The sequence below is a fragment of the Homo sapiens genome, chromosome 22, assembly GCF_000001405.40.
Source record: "Homo sapiens chromosome 22, GRCh38.p14 Primary Assembly".
Lineage (NCBI taxonomy): Eukaryota > Metazoa > Chordata > Mammalia > Primates > Hominidae > Homo > Homo sapiens.
In genome coordinates, this window is record NC_000022.11 from 39,549,757 (window position 1) to 39,565,826 (window position 16,070).

The 16,070-nt window shown below is 54.8% G+C and overlaps 1 long non-coding RNA gene across 1 annotated transcript, besides 1 other annotated feature; it reads right to left on the reverse strand.

Annotated features, from left to right (window-relative positions):
- Nucleotides 1-7,038: 7,038 nt before the first annotated feature.
- Nucleotides 7,039-7,758, reverse strand: LOC124905120 (uncharacterized). Its single transcript, XR_007068106.1, has 2 exons — nt 7,686-7,758; nt 7,039-7,312 (listed from the first exon to the last, which is right to left on the reverse strand). It is a non-coding gene; the product is annotated as an uncharacterized LOC124905120 (long non-coding RNA).
- Nucleotides 8,173-8,771: an enhancer, noted in NCBI's record as "H3K27ac-H3K4me1 hESC enhancer chr22:39953934-39954532 (GRCh37/hg19 assembly coordinates)". NCBI's record gives its function as "activates a minimal SCP1, AML or CMV promoter by ChIP-STARR-seq in naive H9 embryonic stem cells {active_cell/tissue: H9 hESC(naive)}" and the evidence as "EXISTENCE:reporter gene assay evidence [ECO:0000049][PMID:30033119]".

Sequence of the window (16,070 nt, forward strand, 5' to 3'; positions counted from 1 at the left end):
CACCTCATTTAAAATGACAAGACTCCCCCTACCCCATCCTTACTCCCCACCCACCACATCTGCTTTAATTTGCTCTACAGGCAGATCAGAATCTGAGGTACTATATATTTTACTTATTTATCTTCTGACTTCCCCACTAAAATATAAGCTCCAAGAGGACCAGGACTTTGTTTTGCTCACTGCTGTACCTCCAGGGCCCAAACTGGGCCTGGCACATGGTGGGAGCTTGGGGGTAGCTGCTGAAGAGGCAAAGCTGCCCCATCACAGCCTCCTGTGTGTGAGGATCACTGCCCATTCATTCCTTCAGCAAACCTGCTGGCACTCCCTCTATGCCCAGCTCTGGTCTCTACAAACGGGTCCTGCTTTGTAGGGCTCCCAGTCTGGCTGGGGTGGCACAGAGGGGGGCCATGGAGACAGGGCAGGAGTTTGGAGGGAAGGACCACTGATTCTGCCTGGGGTTGCCCTGGAGGAGTCAGGCCTGAGGGAGGCAAAGGCACTCTCTATGTGGCAACATCTCATGATAGCTTTTTCTAACCCCATAAGACCACAGCCGAACTGAGGGCAGGGCTGGTGAATATTCTCCAAAACCCACATATGGCGAAGGCACAGAACTGGCCTCAGCTGGCAAACTGGACTGAATAATCCTTTCCAGGAGGTTCTGGTTTTAACAATGATCAAAACCTTGCAAGAAAGCACTGTAGCCCTGACGGTGGAATTCAAGTGCCACGGGAGGCTGAGGCTGCCTCTTCTGCCTCTGGGCAAAGCTTGCCTGCTCCCTCAAATGCCCATCCTAAGCCATCAGGGCTTGAAAGACCACAGGGCAGGGCCCAGGCTTACAGTAATGACCTGGCCAACTACAGCGCCTCCAGCCTGAGACCCACTCCCACCACACAGGCCTCATGGTCTCTCCTTGATGGCGACATTGAGGGTGTTTGCCTGGAAGCCTGACTGCCCGGGTGCCGGGACTTTGTCCAGCTGAGGATAAAAGGGATAGTTGCCTGCTCTATTATTCTATCTCCAAGCAGCAGGAGTGGCAGAAAGGAAGAGTGTGAGGGCACACGTGCGTGAGAGATGTACATACACACACACAGCGGGGAGACGGGAGAGCAAGAGACAGACAGGAAGAGTTAGGGAGACAGAGAGACAGAGGGGCATGGAGAGAGCCAGAGAAAGGGTAAGACAGAGAAACGCCAAGGAGGAAGGGAGCCAGGCAAGGGAAACAGGAAGCAGGAGAGAGACGCCCAAAGAGACAGAGACAGAGGTGGACAGAAGCCAGCAGGGGCAGAGGGTCCCCACCCCCTGCACCTCAAGGTGATTTTTCCTCTTTTCATCGTCCACTCTCCTCTCTGGCTCCGTCGCTCCTAAGCTGGGCTTTCCGGTCCCTCTTCCACCTCTTCCCCAGTGTCATTTTCTTTTCTTTCTTTCTTTCTTTTTTTTTTTTTTTTGAGATAGTCTTGCTCTGTCGCCCAGGCTAGAGTGCAATGGCATGATCTCAGCTTACTGCAACCTAGGTTGCCGCCTCCTGGGTTCAAGAGATTCTCCTGCCTCAGCCTCCCGAGTAGCTGGGATTACAGGCGCCTGCCACCCTGCCTGACTAATTTTTGTATTTTTAGTAGAGGCGGGGTTTCACCAAGCTGGCCAGGCTGGTCTCGAACTCCTGACCTCAGATGATCCACCTGCCTCAGCCTCCCAAAGTGCTGGGATTACAGGGGTGAGCCACTGCGCCCAGACCCCCATGTCTTTTTTAACCTGATGCTCTCCGGGCCTTTGCTCCTGCTGTCCCTTGGCTTGAGATGCCCTTCCTCCAATACTTGGCTAGGAAAACTCAGATCTGCCCACTGCCTGTTGTCCCTTCTAGGCCTTCACTGTCTCTCCCTTTGTGGAGCCTTCTTTGGCCCTCCTGGTCTGACCCCAGAAAATATCGTTTCCTCCTGGGGGCTCCCAGCTCCTTTCTTCCGAGCTTAAATCCAGGTTGTCCAGATGTGGCTTCTCCCCACAGGGCTGGGGTTCATCTGTTTCTGTATACCTGACACGTGGCACTTAGTAGGTGGTCAATAAACATCACTGAGTGATGGCCTGGCGTGTAACTGTTGTCACACCAGCTCTCTTGAACTCAATTTCTTTCTTTTTTCCTTTTTTGACATGGAGTCTCGCTCTATTGCCCAGGCTGGAGTATAGTGGCGCGATCTTGGCTCACTGCAAACTCTGCCTCCTGGGCTCAAGCAATTCTCCTGCCTCAGCCTCCCGAGTAGCTAGGATTACAGGCGCATGCTGCCACGCCCGGCTAATTTCTGTATTGTTAGTAGAGACTGGATTCTCTGAGCCCTGTCCAGGAAGCTCCTCAGGCATCAGCTACCTGTTTTGGTTGAGAGTCAGGGACCTCCGACCTGGCAGGAACTTGAGGTTCCTGGGGTCTGTCCCCAGCTATGCTCTGCCCCCACTCCAGGCTTTTGTCCTGGGCAGATAGATAGGCTTTTGTCCTGGGCAGAGATAGATTCTCTCTCTCTCTCTCTCACACACACACACATGCGCACACACATGCACTCTGGCATAGAATCCTGTTTATGCTACTTATTAGCTGTGTGACTCTGGGCAATTTACTTAATTTCTCCGGATTCTGGTTCTCCCGAGTGTAAGTGGAGCTGCATGATCCCTGTCACCTAGGACTGCTGGGGGTTAAGTGGGCTGATAGAAGAAGTGGACACCTGCAGCCGGGCCCAGGGGCTCCCTGCTTCTCAGCTACATAAGCCAGCTCCACCCCCACACTTCCTGCCCAGATTCCTAGGGATGCAGCAATCTTGGGGGGCTGCCAGTGTTCTCCTGGACCCCTCTGGCTTTGACCTTTTGCTTCTGCTGGCTTAGTGCAGTTGGGGATGGACTGGGTGACATGCCCAGGGCTGTTCTTGTTCATGTCAGCACTGAGGGGGAGCTCGGCTCCTTTCTTGATATCCACACACTGAGTACCCCTGTGGGTCCAGCAGATGTTCCTGGGGACTTGGCAGGGGAGGGACACTGACACTGCAGCCATGCAAACCACTTCAAATCGAAGTCCCCCCGCTTCTGGGGGATCCCCCCAGGTGCGTCCCCCTCTGCGTGTCCCTGGTCTCCTCCATCTTGCAATCTCTTCTCTCCTCTCCCTTCCCTCTCCACTCTTTTCTCTCTGGACCTTCTGATTCTTCTCTCTTTATGTTGCAGAACAATCCAGCCACTACCTTCCAGACTGGGCTCTGGGTCCATCTTGGCCTCTTCAAACCCATCAAGGTGCCCACAGGTGCTGGGGTTCAGCCTGCCCCATCACATATGGGAAGCCCAGCGTCTGGCCCATCCTCCCTAGGGTCTCATTCCAAATCTCCTCCCTGTTTTACCCACAGTCAGCACTTCCAGAATTTTCCATCTCGTAATGTCCTCCAGCCATGGCACAGGCCTGGTACGCAGAGGTGATTAACAGATGCTTTTGGACTGTTGAAGCTTGCATTCTGCCATTGGTTTTCTCCTATCATGGTGGACTGCTCCCAGGCCAGGGACATTTGGGGCCCAGTGCTCCTGTTTCGGCCTGGTTCTTAGGTGTTCAGGCCACATCACTGCTTGCAGCGTGATTGGGATTCTGGGGCCTGAGCAGGGCTGGTGAGAGAGGCCCCTCTCCATGTCCCAGAGGAATGTGCTCCACCGGGGGGTGGCCTATGGAGGGAGGGTAACTCAGGCCAGTTCCCTTCCTCCTTTAGTAGGTGGAGCCACTCTGTCAGTTTGGAATCCTGGAAACCTGGAATCTTAGAGCTTTTGAGTCTTAGAACATAGGATCCTAGTTAAGAGCACAGACCCCCTGAATTGGAATCCCAGCTCTGCCATTTATTAGCTGTGTGACTTTGAGCAAGTTACCTAACCTCTCTGTGCCAATGTTTTCTCACCTGTAAAATGGTAGCAATGATTTTACAAGATTTTTTTCTTTTCTCTTTCTTTCTTTCTTTTTTTTTTTTTTTTTTTTTGAGATAGAGTCTCGCTCTGTCACCCAGAGTGCTGGAGTGCAGTGGCATGATCTCGGCTCACCGCAACCTCTGCCTCCTGGGTTCAAGTGATTCTCCTGCCTCAGCCTCCTGAGTAGCTGGGACTACAGGTGCATGCCACAATGCCTGGCTAGTTTTTGTATTTTTTAGTAGAGATGGGGTTTTGCTATGTTGGCCAGGCTGGTTTTGAACTCCTGACCTCAAGTGATCCACCCACCTGGGCCTCCCAAAGTGCTGGGGTTACAGGCGTGAGCCACTGCGCCTGGCCCGATTTTACAAGATTATGGTAAGAATTAAGGGGGTTAATTTTTGTCAAGTGCTTAGACCAGGGCCTGGCACAGATAAAGGATCTGTGAGCATCTGAGAAATAAATCAGTGTGAATTCTGAGCATACTGGAATCTTTGTCCCTGTGCTATTAAGATCTTTAGGCCTGGAAGGGACCTCATTTCATGTCATAGGGCAGGAATTCTGCCCCAGTTTCCTTCAGCCCAGCTTGTTTATTTGTCCCCATGGACAGATGATCCCTTTCTATCCAGCCACTACAATTGCAAGAAAGTTCTGGGGGGCGGAGGTGAGCCTGGGCCCAGCAGCTGCTGCAGCAGCAAGGAAGAGCCTGGTTGGGCTTTGTCCCTGGAAGAGGGCAGGGGATTCCGGGTCTAGGGAGGTGGTAGGGAGCCTGGTTCATTTGTCAGGGGGGTGCATTAGGGGGCTCCAGGCTGGGGTCTACCTCGTCCACCCTCTGGTAGTGGCCTGGCAGCCCTACTCCCAGGACATGGTAGGACCAACAAATATGTGTGGCTGATGCAGCCTTCTGCAATTACCAGGCACAACATAAATAGCAGTAATGAATGGATGAAGCTCCTGCAGTCAGCCAGGGCCCTCAGGAGGGACCTCCCCAGTCTTGCTTCTTGCTAAGACATGGAGTGGTACTTTCAGCCCCAGTAGGTTTCAGGGTCATCCCTCAAATCCACATAACTCACTCCCTATCCTGGGTGGATCGTGGGATGGGCAGAATAGTGACAGAGATAGAGTGGACAACTACGTTTTTTTTGTTGTTTTTTTTTTTTTTGAGATGGAGTCTTGCTCTGTCACCAAGGCTGGAGTGCAGTGGCATGATCTCAGCTCACTGCAACCTCCGCCTCCTGGGTTCAAGCGATTCTCCTGCCTCAGCCTCCCGAGTAGCTGGCACTACAGGCGTTTGCCACCACACCCAGCTAATTTTTGTAGTTTTAGTAGAGACAGGGCTTCACCATGTTGGCCAGGCTGGTCTTGAACTCCTGACCTCAGATGATCCACCCACCTCAGCCTCCCAAAGTGCTGGGATTACAAGTGTGAGCCACCATGCCTGGCCTAGGGTTTTAGTTGAAACATAAAGCATGGGCCAGGCACGGTGGCTCACACCTGTAATCCCAACATTTCGGGAGGCTGAGGTGGGCAGATCGCTCGAGCCCAGGAGTTCGAGACCAGCCTGGGCAACATGGTGAAACCCCGTCTCTACAAAAAGTACAAAAAATTAGCTAGGTGTGGTGGTGTGTGCCTGTGTTCCCAGCTACTCAGAGGCTGAGGTGGGAGGATCACTGGAGCCTGGGAAGTTGAGGCTGCAATGAGCTGATATTGAGCCACTACACTCCAGCCTGGGCAACAGAGTGAGATCTTGTCTCAAAAAAAAAAAAAAAAAAAAAAAAGAAACATAAGGTTAGATATAAAACAGGACTTTCTGCTAGTATAGATGCTTGAAGGAGGCTGAGGTGGGAGTGTTAGTCCTGTCAAGACAAGGAAGGGACCCAGATCACGAAGGGTAGCAGATTTCTGCTCAAATCTGTAAAAGAGCTTTGAATGATCAGAAATACCCAGAGAGCAGAGGAGCTGCCCCAGGAGGTGGTGAGATCTACATCACCTCAGGTGTACAAGCAGGGACAGGGTGGCCACTTCGGAAGACTATAGCTGAAGGGACCCAGACCTGAGAATTCACCGTCTGGTGGCTTCTCGAGGTCCTGTCCAGTCTTCTGAACTTTGCTTTATGAAAATGTCCCTGGAGGAGAATGGGAAGAAGTTGGTGGTGGTTGGTATCTTCTCCCCATCATGCCGCCTGATTTCTTTCACCCTCCAGGCCTGCGGCTTTCTAGCTGTGCATTCAGCTGCTCGGGGCATGGAGTGCCTGCCATGCTACCTTGTTCCTGCCTCCATGCCTTCTCCCTCCTTGATGCCATTTCTCTACCCACCTTCTCTCTTCTTATCTCGATCCTGTACAAGCTTTCAAGGCTCAGTTCAAGTCTCTCGCCTTTGATGAGGCTTCCCTGAAGACTCCTGATCTGAAGCCCACTCTGATCTGATGTAAATCCGTCCCACCTGCAGGGCTGTCTGGCTTGCTGAATTCACACCTGTAAGACACCTCTCAGCCCGTGTGTGCTTAGACGACCTTGCCTTGGAGTCTGGAGACAAAGGCTTGTTTTGTCTCCTTAGACTAAAAGCTAGAAAGGGATGAATATTTGTTGGACACCTATTATGTGTTAGACACTGTGCTAAGCCCTTTAAAGATGGTTTGCATCCTGCAAAGTGTGAAACCTTATCGCCATTTCACAGATGAGGCACCTGAGACTCAGAGATGTTAACGGGCTTTGCTTCCCATCCTCAGTCAGGAAGCAGCAGAGCTGGGATCAAACCTGAGTGTACCTTTCTCTAAAGCTGTGACTATCTGCCAGCATCGGAGGGGTGGGGGGGCTCAGGGCAGCCCTCAGCAACCCCCTGGTGCCCCTCACCACACATTCTCCAAAGAGGTGGAGAGGGTTACGCTGGGCAGCCCAGTGTGACAACATCTGGGCAGGGGTTGGGAGCACTGGACTCGTACTGGGGGCTGCTGCTTCCCAGCGGAGTAACCTTGACCAGGCAGCTCATCTCTGGCCTCAGTTTCTTCATCGGTAAAATGGGGGCAAAAGGGTGGAACTCCAGGCAGTTTAAAGAAGTGCCTAGCACACAGCAGGTGTTCACTAAATGCTTCCTGAGTTGTGAGGCAGTGAGTAGACCATTTGGCCTGCATTGGGGAGAGTCTTGGTGCTTTTAATTTGTTTGGCTGGATGCAAATGAACAAATAAAAGGGGGTTATAACCTTGAACACTCCCTCTCCCCAATCCACAGCCCTTGGGTGAGAGAGGAAGGGAGACAGGCCTCAGGAGCGTGGGATTGGGGGAACTGGTGTGACAGGGTCCTGGAAAGTGGTGAGAATGAAGCCTTTGCAGCCGGATAGAGGCATCTGTTTCACCTGGGGGCCCTCTGAGAAGCCTTCCTGGAGGAGGTGGCCTTTCAGCCAAGCCTAGAGGGTGGGAAGAAGCAGGGTTGTGAATGAGAAGTGTGGAGGCAGCCTGGGCGGTTGAGCGACCTTTAGAGCTGGGTTCTAGCTCAGCTCTACCGTTTAAGAGCTGGGGTCTTAGGTGGGTGACCCCTCACCGGGGCAGTGGGGTGAACACCCCCGATCTGGATCTCAGAGAGGAGACAGGGTGGAACGTGGCAGAGCAGGCACCTGGGACCCGGGGGTGGTCAGTAATGCCCCCCACCCACCTCTTTTTACTCATGACGCAGCCCCCATGCTGAGGGGTCAGGACCCCACCCCAGGCAAGAACCTGGATTTTAAGGAGCTGGCCGCGGGCTGGGGGCTTCCTACCCTCTGGGAAGGGGTGGGAGCTCACCAGCCGCCGCCGTCAGTCTGTCTGTCGCCTCCACGCCTCCCCCCTCCAGCGTCCCGCGCCTGCAGCTTTCCCCGAAGACATTTGGTGTCAGTATAAGGACGGCTTTTCCTCGCACGCAGCGCGGCTCGGTCTCGCCGCCGCCGCACGTCCCCGCACCGCCAGGCGCTCGGGCTCCTCCGCAGCCCCCGCCGCGCGCAGACCCCGCGCTTCGAGCCCTGAGCCGGAGGCGCGAGCAGAGCCGAGGCAGGCGAGAGACCGGCCTCAGCCCCGCGCTCCCCGCCGCGCTGGTCTCTCCCGGGCACTTGCCCCGCTGCTCGGTCCCCGCAGCACCCGCGCCCCCGCCCCGGCCCGGAGCGCCGCGCTCCCGCCCGCCGCCCGCCCAGAGCCTCGCCGTCCCTCCAGCCCGCCGCCTCCTCCTCCTCCCGCCATGGCCCGGGCCCCCGGGCCCGCCGCCCCCCGCCCGCCGCCCCCCGCGCCCCGGGGGCTCAGCTGATCCTGAATTGGCGGGGGGTCGGCTGGCGGGGCTGGGGGTCCCTCTCGATCGCCGGCTTCGGGTGGGGACGCGTTGTCCCCGCGTCTCTAACCTGGACGACCCCCCGCGGCCGGGCCACGTCCATGCCAAGGTAGGTGGGGGCTGGGTGGGTGGGGGGAAGGAAGGGAGGGCTTCGCTTCGATGCCAGTTTCTTGGCGCGTTGGCTTCTCTCTTCACTGGGGCATTTATTTATTTATTTCTGGGGATCGATCCTCCCCACCCGCGCGTACCCGTCAGGTGAGCCCCCCATCCCGCGCCTTCGGGGCCATGCCTTGGGAGGAAGGACAGGAAACTTTGACCGGTCCTCTCTCCAAGGCCACGAAAGTTCTCTCGGTGCCAATACTGAAGCCAGCTGAGCCAGCGCTGCAGAAATTTATTCAACAAGTCAGGCTGCCGGCCGGGGCCCGGGTTGTCCGCGCGTCCGGCCGCCCCTCCGCGGCTGCGGCTCTGCGGGCAGCTGGGCCAGAGCTGGTGCCCGTGTCCGGCGGGCTGAGCTGGGAGCGCTGGCCTGGGAGCGCGGCAGCGGGGGCCACTGGATGGGGGAATCCCGGGCAGGGTTTAACTTTCCCGGAGGCGGGGGTGGCGGAGACCCCCCCTTTGGCTGGCACCCCAGCGGGGCGGAGGCCTCGCTGCATGAAGCCAGGCCAGGGTCGGAGCCGGGGCTGTAGGGGTGAAAGGGACCCTCGGCCGGCTGGAGGTGTTATGTAATGAGTGCTTATGATGATTGGGTGCTAATTGCCTACTGGGTGGTGTTGTGGGGGAGCTGTGGGGGACTACGGGGCTTGGCAGTGGTGGGGAGGCCTCTTTTGGGGGAAGTCATGGTGCCTGGGGGAGGGGGCTGTGGTGGGGCCCAGGCTGAGGCCTCAGTCAGCCCCTCTGCTAGTGTCTTTCTGCCTTGTCAGGGCCCTGGGGGCTCCTGACCTGAGGATGAGATTGGGGTCTGAGAAGACCTCTGAGCTATATTCTTGTCCTGAGGGTCTGTATCCTGGGTCCAGGTGTGTGTGTGTGTGTGTGTGTGTGTGTGTGTGAGAGAGACAGAGAGAGAGAATGAGCGAGCGCTGGAGTGGGCCTGCGTGTCTGGCGTGTGTGGTGTGCCGGGGTCTGATCACCATGCGAGGAGAGTCCTCGCTGGAGCACTCAGATTGGCCCAGGCAGTGGCCAGTTCGTCCTCTGTCTCTCACTGCCTGGAGGATTCGCCCCGCAGACGCTGGCACCACCTCGGGGCTAGGACGCTGTGTGAACAGGGGTGTGGATCTGTGGCCCAGCCCCAGGGGAAGGGTTTGGCCCATGGTGTGGGCCTACCTCCCTGCACCCCGTCCTCAGACCCTGCTGGCACCTGGTCACCTCTTGAATCTGTGGCTCCTCTTAGCCCTAAGGACTCGCTTCCGGAACTCTTGTCCACTCTTCAGGACAAACTTTCTGTTCAGGCTTCAGGATCCAGGGCTGGGCTGGGGACTGAGCTGGGGTCTAGAGACCTCCCTGTTACCTTCCCACCTCCGCCGTCAACGCAGAGACAGAGGGAGGGGACACCAGTGGGTGATAGGTCAGGACAGGACAGGGTGACACTGAGCAGAGACCAGGTCTGGGGCCTCAGCAGGGGGAGGAAGAGGAAAAGAAAGAATGTGCCTGGAGGCTGTTGAGCTGGCCTGGCACCAAACCCATGAATCTGCCCACAACCCCAGAGGGCCTGGTCACCACACCGTGCCCTCCACGCTCTCTTCCTAGCTGTGCAGAGCTGCTGTGCCTGCCCCACAATGGGAGGCTTGGGGAAGGGGCTGCTGGCCTGGCTGGAGGCCCCTTCCCCTTCCTTTGACCAAAGTTCTCTGCCCGCTTCTTCCGCATTCCTTCCTCCTCACCCTGCATGCCCCTCCCCTCCCCTTGCCCCCATTCCAAGACCTCCTGAGAAAGCTGGGGCTGAGAGGGCATCTTCCAGGCCCACCAGGGGGCGCCAGGCTGTCCGCAGGTCCCTGCGGCCTCCCCTTGACCTTGAGTGGTCAGGTAGGGGTGGAGGGTGCCGTGAGAACCCCATCCTCTCTCACCCTCTCTCTGCTCCAGACATCTTCCTGAGTCCATAGCCAAGCTGGGAGCAGTTTTGGGGACTGCAGCCTCTCTGTGGTTCTGGACCCAGTTCCCCGCCCTGAGCCCACAGGGGTCACCACCTCCAACTCCCCTCCCCCAGTCTCCTTCATCATGGCCCCCTTTGTGGCCCTCTCTGCCACCTTCACCCCACACCCCAAGTGTGGCTGCTCTGGGCCTCAGCCCCAAGGAAGGGGCTCTCAGGCCAGTCAGTTTCTGGGCACCACTCTGTCCCTCCCCCACGCTGGCAGGGCTCCCGCCACCCCGCAGTTCCTAGCGCTTTCCAAGGTAGCCAAACAGGCTCCTATGTGGCTCCTTGATCCGTGGCTGTCTCCACTTTGGCAGCTGCCTTCTTCTCTTGATTCCTCAGCCCCCCAGCTCCTGGTGTCAAAAACTGTCTGGAAAGAGGGGATGCTGGGCTGGGCATGGGGGTCTAGAGAGACCCCTCTGGGCTGCAGGGAGAGCAGGGCGCTCTCCCCTCCATCCCTTCTCCTCTGCAGCCAGCTCTTCCCCTGCTGCTGCTCCTCTTCCTCGCCTGTCCTCCTGTCCCCACTTCTCCTTTCCAACCCCTTCCCTACCTCCTGTTCTTTGCCGCAGAATGTTTTCTTCCCATATGTTCCTAGGACATGCCCCAGCCTTAATGCCCTCAGTCTACTCTTGTGCCCCTGGCATCCCAGGTCTGGCCTGGGGGCTCAAAGAGCCCAGGGTGCTGTGTGCCCTGCACACTGTGGGTGTATGGTCTGTGGATCTCTGGGAGTGTGAGTGTGCAGGTCTGTGGGTCTGTGGGTCCAGGCATCTGTGGATCTGTGGGTGTGTCTGTGAATCTGTGGATGGTGGATCCATGGGTCCGTGGATCTGTGGATCCTGATATCCAGGAAGATGTGGGTTGAGTCTGTCCCCCACCATGGCTGCCAGTCTACAGAGGGAAGAAAACAAATTGGATTTTCCGATTTCCTTTTCTCTCTTTCTCTCTAATATTTATTCTTCATGTACTGTGTTCTAAGGCCTGTTCTGGTCACTGGGGGACACAGCAGTGAACGGAAGGGAACAGACAAAACCTGCCCTTTTGGAGCTGCTGTGCCTGTGAGAGGATCTGGCCTCCCCTGCCAGGTGCTTTGTGGGGACATGGCCACGAGTCCTGGTTTCCACTCGTGCTCTCAGATTGGAGAACCCAGACCGTATTGATAGATGAGGGGTGCAGATCACAGAGGATTTAGCATGGCATATTTGGACACCTTTGCAAAACAGCTGGGTGCTTTTGGGGCTCCTTGAGCAGGAGAGGACGAGAAGGACGTGGTATCTTGAGGGTGGAGGTTCTGTGGAGGCTGTGGGCTCTTCAGGGCCAGGTTCAATGCAGACCTGGCCCTGCCTCCCAGAACTTTTCCCTTCATCTCTGAGGTCTGCCTCTGCCCACTGCCCCCTTCTCCTGGACTCTGGCCAGAGAGGTCTGGCTAATGGTGCATGTAGAGAGGAGCATTAGGGTCTTGCTGCCTGCCCTACCCTGTTGAGCAGCGGGGGCTGCATCCAGCCCTCTGTTGTTCTAGGGTCTTAGGCCCCTTTTGGGAGGGGCCTAAGCTCTGTCCCAGCTGGGGTAGAGGTGAGCAAGTCCACAACCATGGCAAGAGGATCAGGTGACCTAGCATCAACAGAAGCATCCGCTTCTTATAAAACTGGGATAATACCTTTCACCTGAAAGGATTTTTGTGCGGCTCAGACATGTTTCTGCAGCACCTAGCATGGGGCCTCGTACAATGAAGCTGTCTTTTCTTTCATGAAGTTGCTTTCCAAATGTTTTTCCCCATTTTCTATCTGGTTTTCAAGGCAGAAAAGGCATCGTCTTCTGCATTTTATACAAAAGGAAATGAAGCTTGGGGAGACCATGTGATGTGGGGAGGGCAGAGCTGGTCCTTGAGTCCTGGGACTCCTGATCCAGTGCTCTTCCTGCTGGCCACCCCTCCCTCCCATCAGGGGCCATGTTCACCCTGATTTGCTCGCTGAAGTAAGACCCAAGGCCCTAATTACTGCAGAGTGAGTAAAAACTGATCAGCAGAAGCGCCTGCTGGGAGATGTTCAAACACACTGATGGTGGTTCCGACACAGCCTCGCTTGCTGCACTTGTCATAAGACCGAGAGCCGGCTGAAAACAAACAAATGGCAATGCCTGGTGACAGACACGTGGGCAGGTGCAGGGGTGGGGGGGCTGGTAGGCTGCAACCTCTTGTCCACAGTCTGGCCTGGACAACCCTTATCTGGTGACCTGGAGCTGGACTGCTCAGATCCAAACCCCAGCTCTTTTACTAAGTAGCTTTTGACCTTGGGAAGATCCTTTAACCTTCCAGTGCCTCGGTTTCCTCACCTATAAGGTGGACAGAGCAAAAGCACTTCTCAAAAGCTTACTCTGTGCCTGGCATATAGTAAGTATTCACAGATAATGTTGGCTTTGATTCTTGTTGGCCATCACGGGAGGGGTTGCTGACCGAGAACCCACTCAATAGGCTGCGGAGCTGGGAGGGCTAGCTGTTCATTTTTGTGACAGGTCTGAGGTGAATGACTACAAGATGTGGGCAGGCCCAGCTGACCAGACCAGAGCAAGTTTTGTGACGGGTCATGCAATTGGGGGCACCGCACTTCAGCCTTTCCTCTTTAGGCTGAGGATCTCTGGCTTGGCTCAGCTTCTCTGAAGAAGATCTGAGGGGATCAGTGGACCACATGCCCCACAGGTGCTGCAGTAGGACTGGGTTGCCAGCTGGGCCCTGATGCTCCCAGTCCGCATCAAGAAAGGCCAGAATCAGGCAGGTAACCTGTCTGTTGTGCTCTGGGTGGCTTGGTGCATATCCAGTCCTGCCCATGCAGAGGAAAGGGCACAGACTTGAGTGTGACTGCGGAGGGGGTCCCAGGGAGGCATATGATGTGGAAATTGTCACCCAAGGAATGGTTGAGGGAGCTGGTGACAAGAGGCCTGGGGCAGATGAGGCTCAGGGGTGGGCGGGCTGTCGTCATGCATCTGCAGGGCTGTCATGCGGAAGAGGGAGCAGATAGAGGGTTCCAGGGGCTCTGGGACGCCGGCTGGAAGATTCTGGAAGGCAGGCTTCCTGCAGTCTCACAAAGGCTTTTCTGTAGATCACCAGATGCAGGCTCTGCATTGGTTTGTATGTGTGAGTGGCTGTTGTGTCTATGTGTGTGCGACTATGTGTATGCGTCTGTGTATTCTGTGTGTGCATATGTGTCAGTGTGAGTGTATGTGATCTGTGTGATTGTGTGCATATCTATGTGTCTGGGTAAGTGTGTGATTGTGTGTATGTGTGTCTGTGTGAGTTATGTGTGTGCCTGTAAATGGGTGTTTTGTGTGTTTATGTGTGTGTGTAATTGCGTGTATGTATGCCTGTGAGTATATGTCTTTGTGATTGTATGTTATGTGTGTGTGATTGTGTGTGTCTGTGTATTCTTTGTGTGCATGCATGTCTGTGTGTGTCAGTGTGAGTGTATGTTATGTGAGTGTATTTGTGTGATTACATATGTATGTGTCTGTGATTGTGTATGTATGTGTCTGTGAGTGTGTGAGTGTGTATGTGTGTATGTCTGTGTGAGTGTGTGTATGGGAGTGTGTGCGTCTGCATGAGTGGGTGCTGGTGTATCTATGTACCGTGTGTGGTTGTGTGTCTGTGTGCGTGTTATGTGTGTATGTCTGTGTGTGATTGTGTGTCTGTGTGTGTTTCTGTGTGAATGGGTACTGGTGTATCTATGTGCCATGTGTGGTTGTGTGTCTATGTGAATGTGTGTTGTGTGCTAATGTGTGTGTGATTGTGTGTCTGTGTGTGTCTGTGTGTTATGTGTCTATGTCTGTGTGTGTAATTGTGTGTCTGTGTATGCCTGTGTGTGATTGTGTGTCTGTGTGTCTGTGTGAGTGCACGCTGGTGTACCCATGTGCCATGTGTGATTGTGTGTCTGTGTGTGTGTTGATGTGTGTTATGTGTGTAACTGTGTGATTGTGTTTCTGTGTATGTCTGTGTGTGTGATTGTGTGTCTGTGAGTGTGTGTGTCTGTGTGAGTGCATGCTGGCGTACCCATGTGCCACGTGTGTGATTGTGTGTGTGTCTGTGTGAGTTTGTGTTATGTGCATATGTCTGCATGTGTGTGATTGTGTTTCTGTGTGTTATGTATGTGTGTGTAATCGTGTGTCTGTGTATGTGATTATGTGTCTGTGTGTCTGTATGAGTGCATGCTGGTGTACCCATGTGCCATGTGTGTGATTGTGTGTGAGTGTGTGTCTATGTGTGTGTTATGTGTGTGCATATGTCTGTGTGTGTGTGAGGTTGTGTCTGCAAGTGTGTGTTATCTGTGTATGTCTGTGTGTGATTGTGTGTGAGTGTGGTATGGAGCATGTGAGTGTGGGTGTGTGAGTGTGACTGTGTGATTTTTGTGCTTGTGAGTGTGTATGGTGACGGATTAGGTCACCTTCCGGGTCTCATTCTTTTCAGAGATCCCCTGTTTGAAGACCTGGAAACAATGAGAGTTTAAAACCAGACACTGTTTCTGGGACCCCTGGGGTTCGGGAGTCTGGAACTCCATGGCTGAGGATACTAACAAGGATGGGAAACTGGCGAGGGTCTCACTGTGCACCTGCCTAGTGCTCAGTGGTGCTACCCTAGCTTGTCGGCACAGCAGCCCTGCCATGGTGCGGTCGTCTCCTCATTTTATAGACAGGGTAGCTGTGGGCACCTGCCAGGCTGAGTTGTGTGCCAAGGTGGATTGGTGTCGGGACCTGAATACAGGTCTCAGCTTCCACTGCCCGTGATTTGAAACCCACACTATGGATTCAGGGTGACTGTAGTTAATATTTTGGGCCTCTAAAGTTCTGGGTGATTCTAAGATAGTCTGAAATTCCTGGATTCTAGTATTTCCTGAACGAATTTGTTGCTTGTTCTTCTAGCAGTGTGTGGTTATTGACAAAAGGATAAACAAAGTTGCCTCCCTGTATGAAAACACACATGTGCACACACACACATACACATGCACACACACACATGAGGCGACCAGGGCAGGCCTCAGGTCTTCCTCCACCAGGGCTCTGAGCTCTGAAGATACAGGACATCCTGACACTGCACTCCCAGGGCTCTAGAGTGCTGGCTGGAAGATTCTGGGAGGCAGATTTCCCCACTGCCTTGGGAAGACTTGGGCAACTTGCTTGGGCATCTTGGCTGGACCAGCAGCTGTATTGCCACTGTCTGATGCCTCAGCTTGGGGAGGCCTGGTTCCAGGGCACCATTCCCATCCCAGGTTGGTGCCTGGAATGGTTCAGTGCTTGGGCTCGGGAGTAAGCAGACCAGAACTGGGACACTAACTGCCCGGTACCAGCTGGCTGACTATGGTCATGGCTGTTCCCCTGTCTCCCTCTCCATGAAGTAAGAATGAGAATGGTCTGTATGCCATGGAGTTGTGGTAAAAATGGACACAGATGATGCATAGGGAACCTGTTGGCCATTGCTTGATGGGGTCATGGTGGTGATAGTGGTGATGATGGTGATGGTGCTGGTGATGATGGAAGTGATGGTGTTAGTGATGGCGATGGTGGTGATGATGATGGTGTTGGTGGTGGTGGTGATGATGTTGGTGTTAGTGATGGCGATGGTGGTGATGATGATGGTGTTGGTGGTGGTGGTGATGATGTTGGTGTTGGTGATGGTGATGGTGATGATGATGCTGTTGGTGGTGGTGGTGATGATGTTGGCGTTAGTGATGGTGGTGGTGATGGTGTTGATGGTCATTGTGGTGGTAAG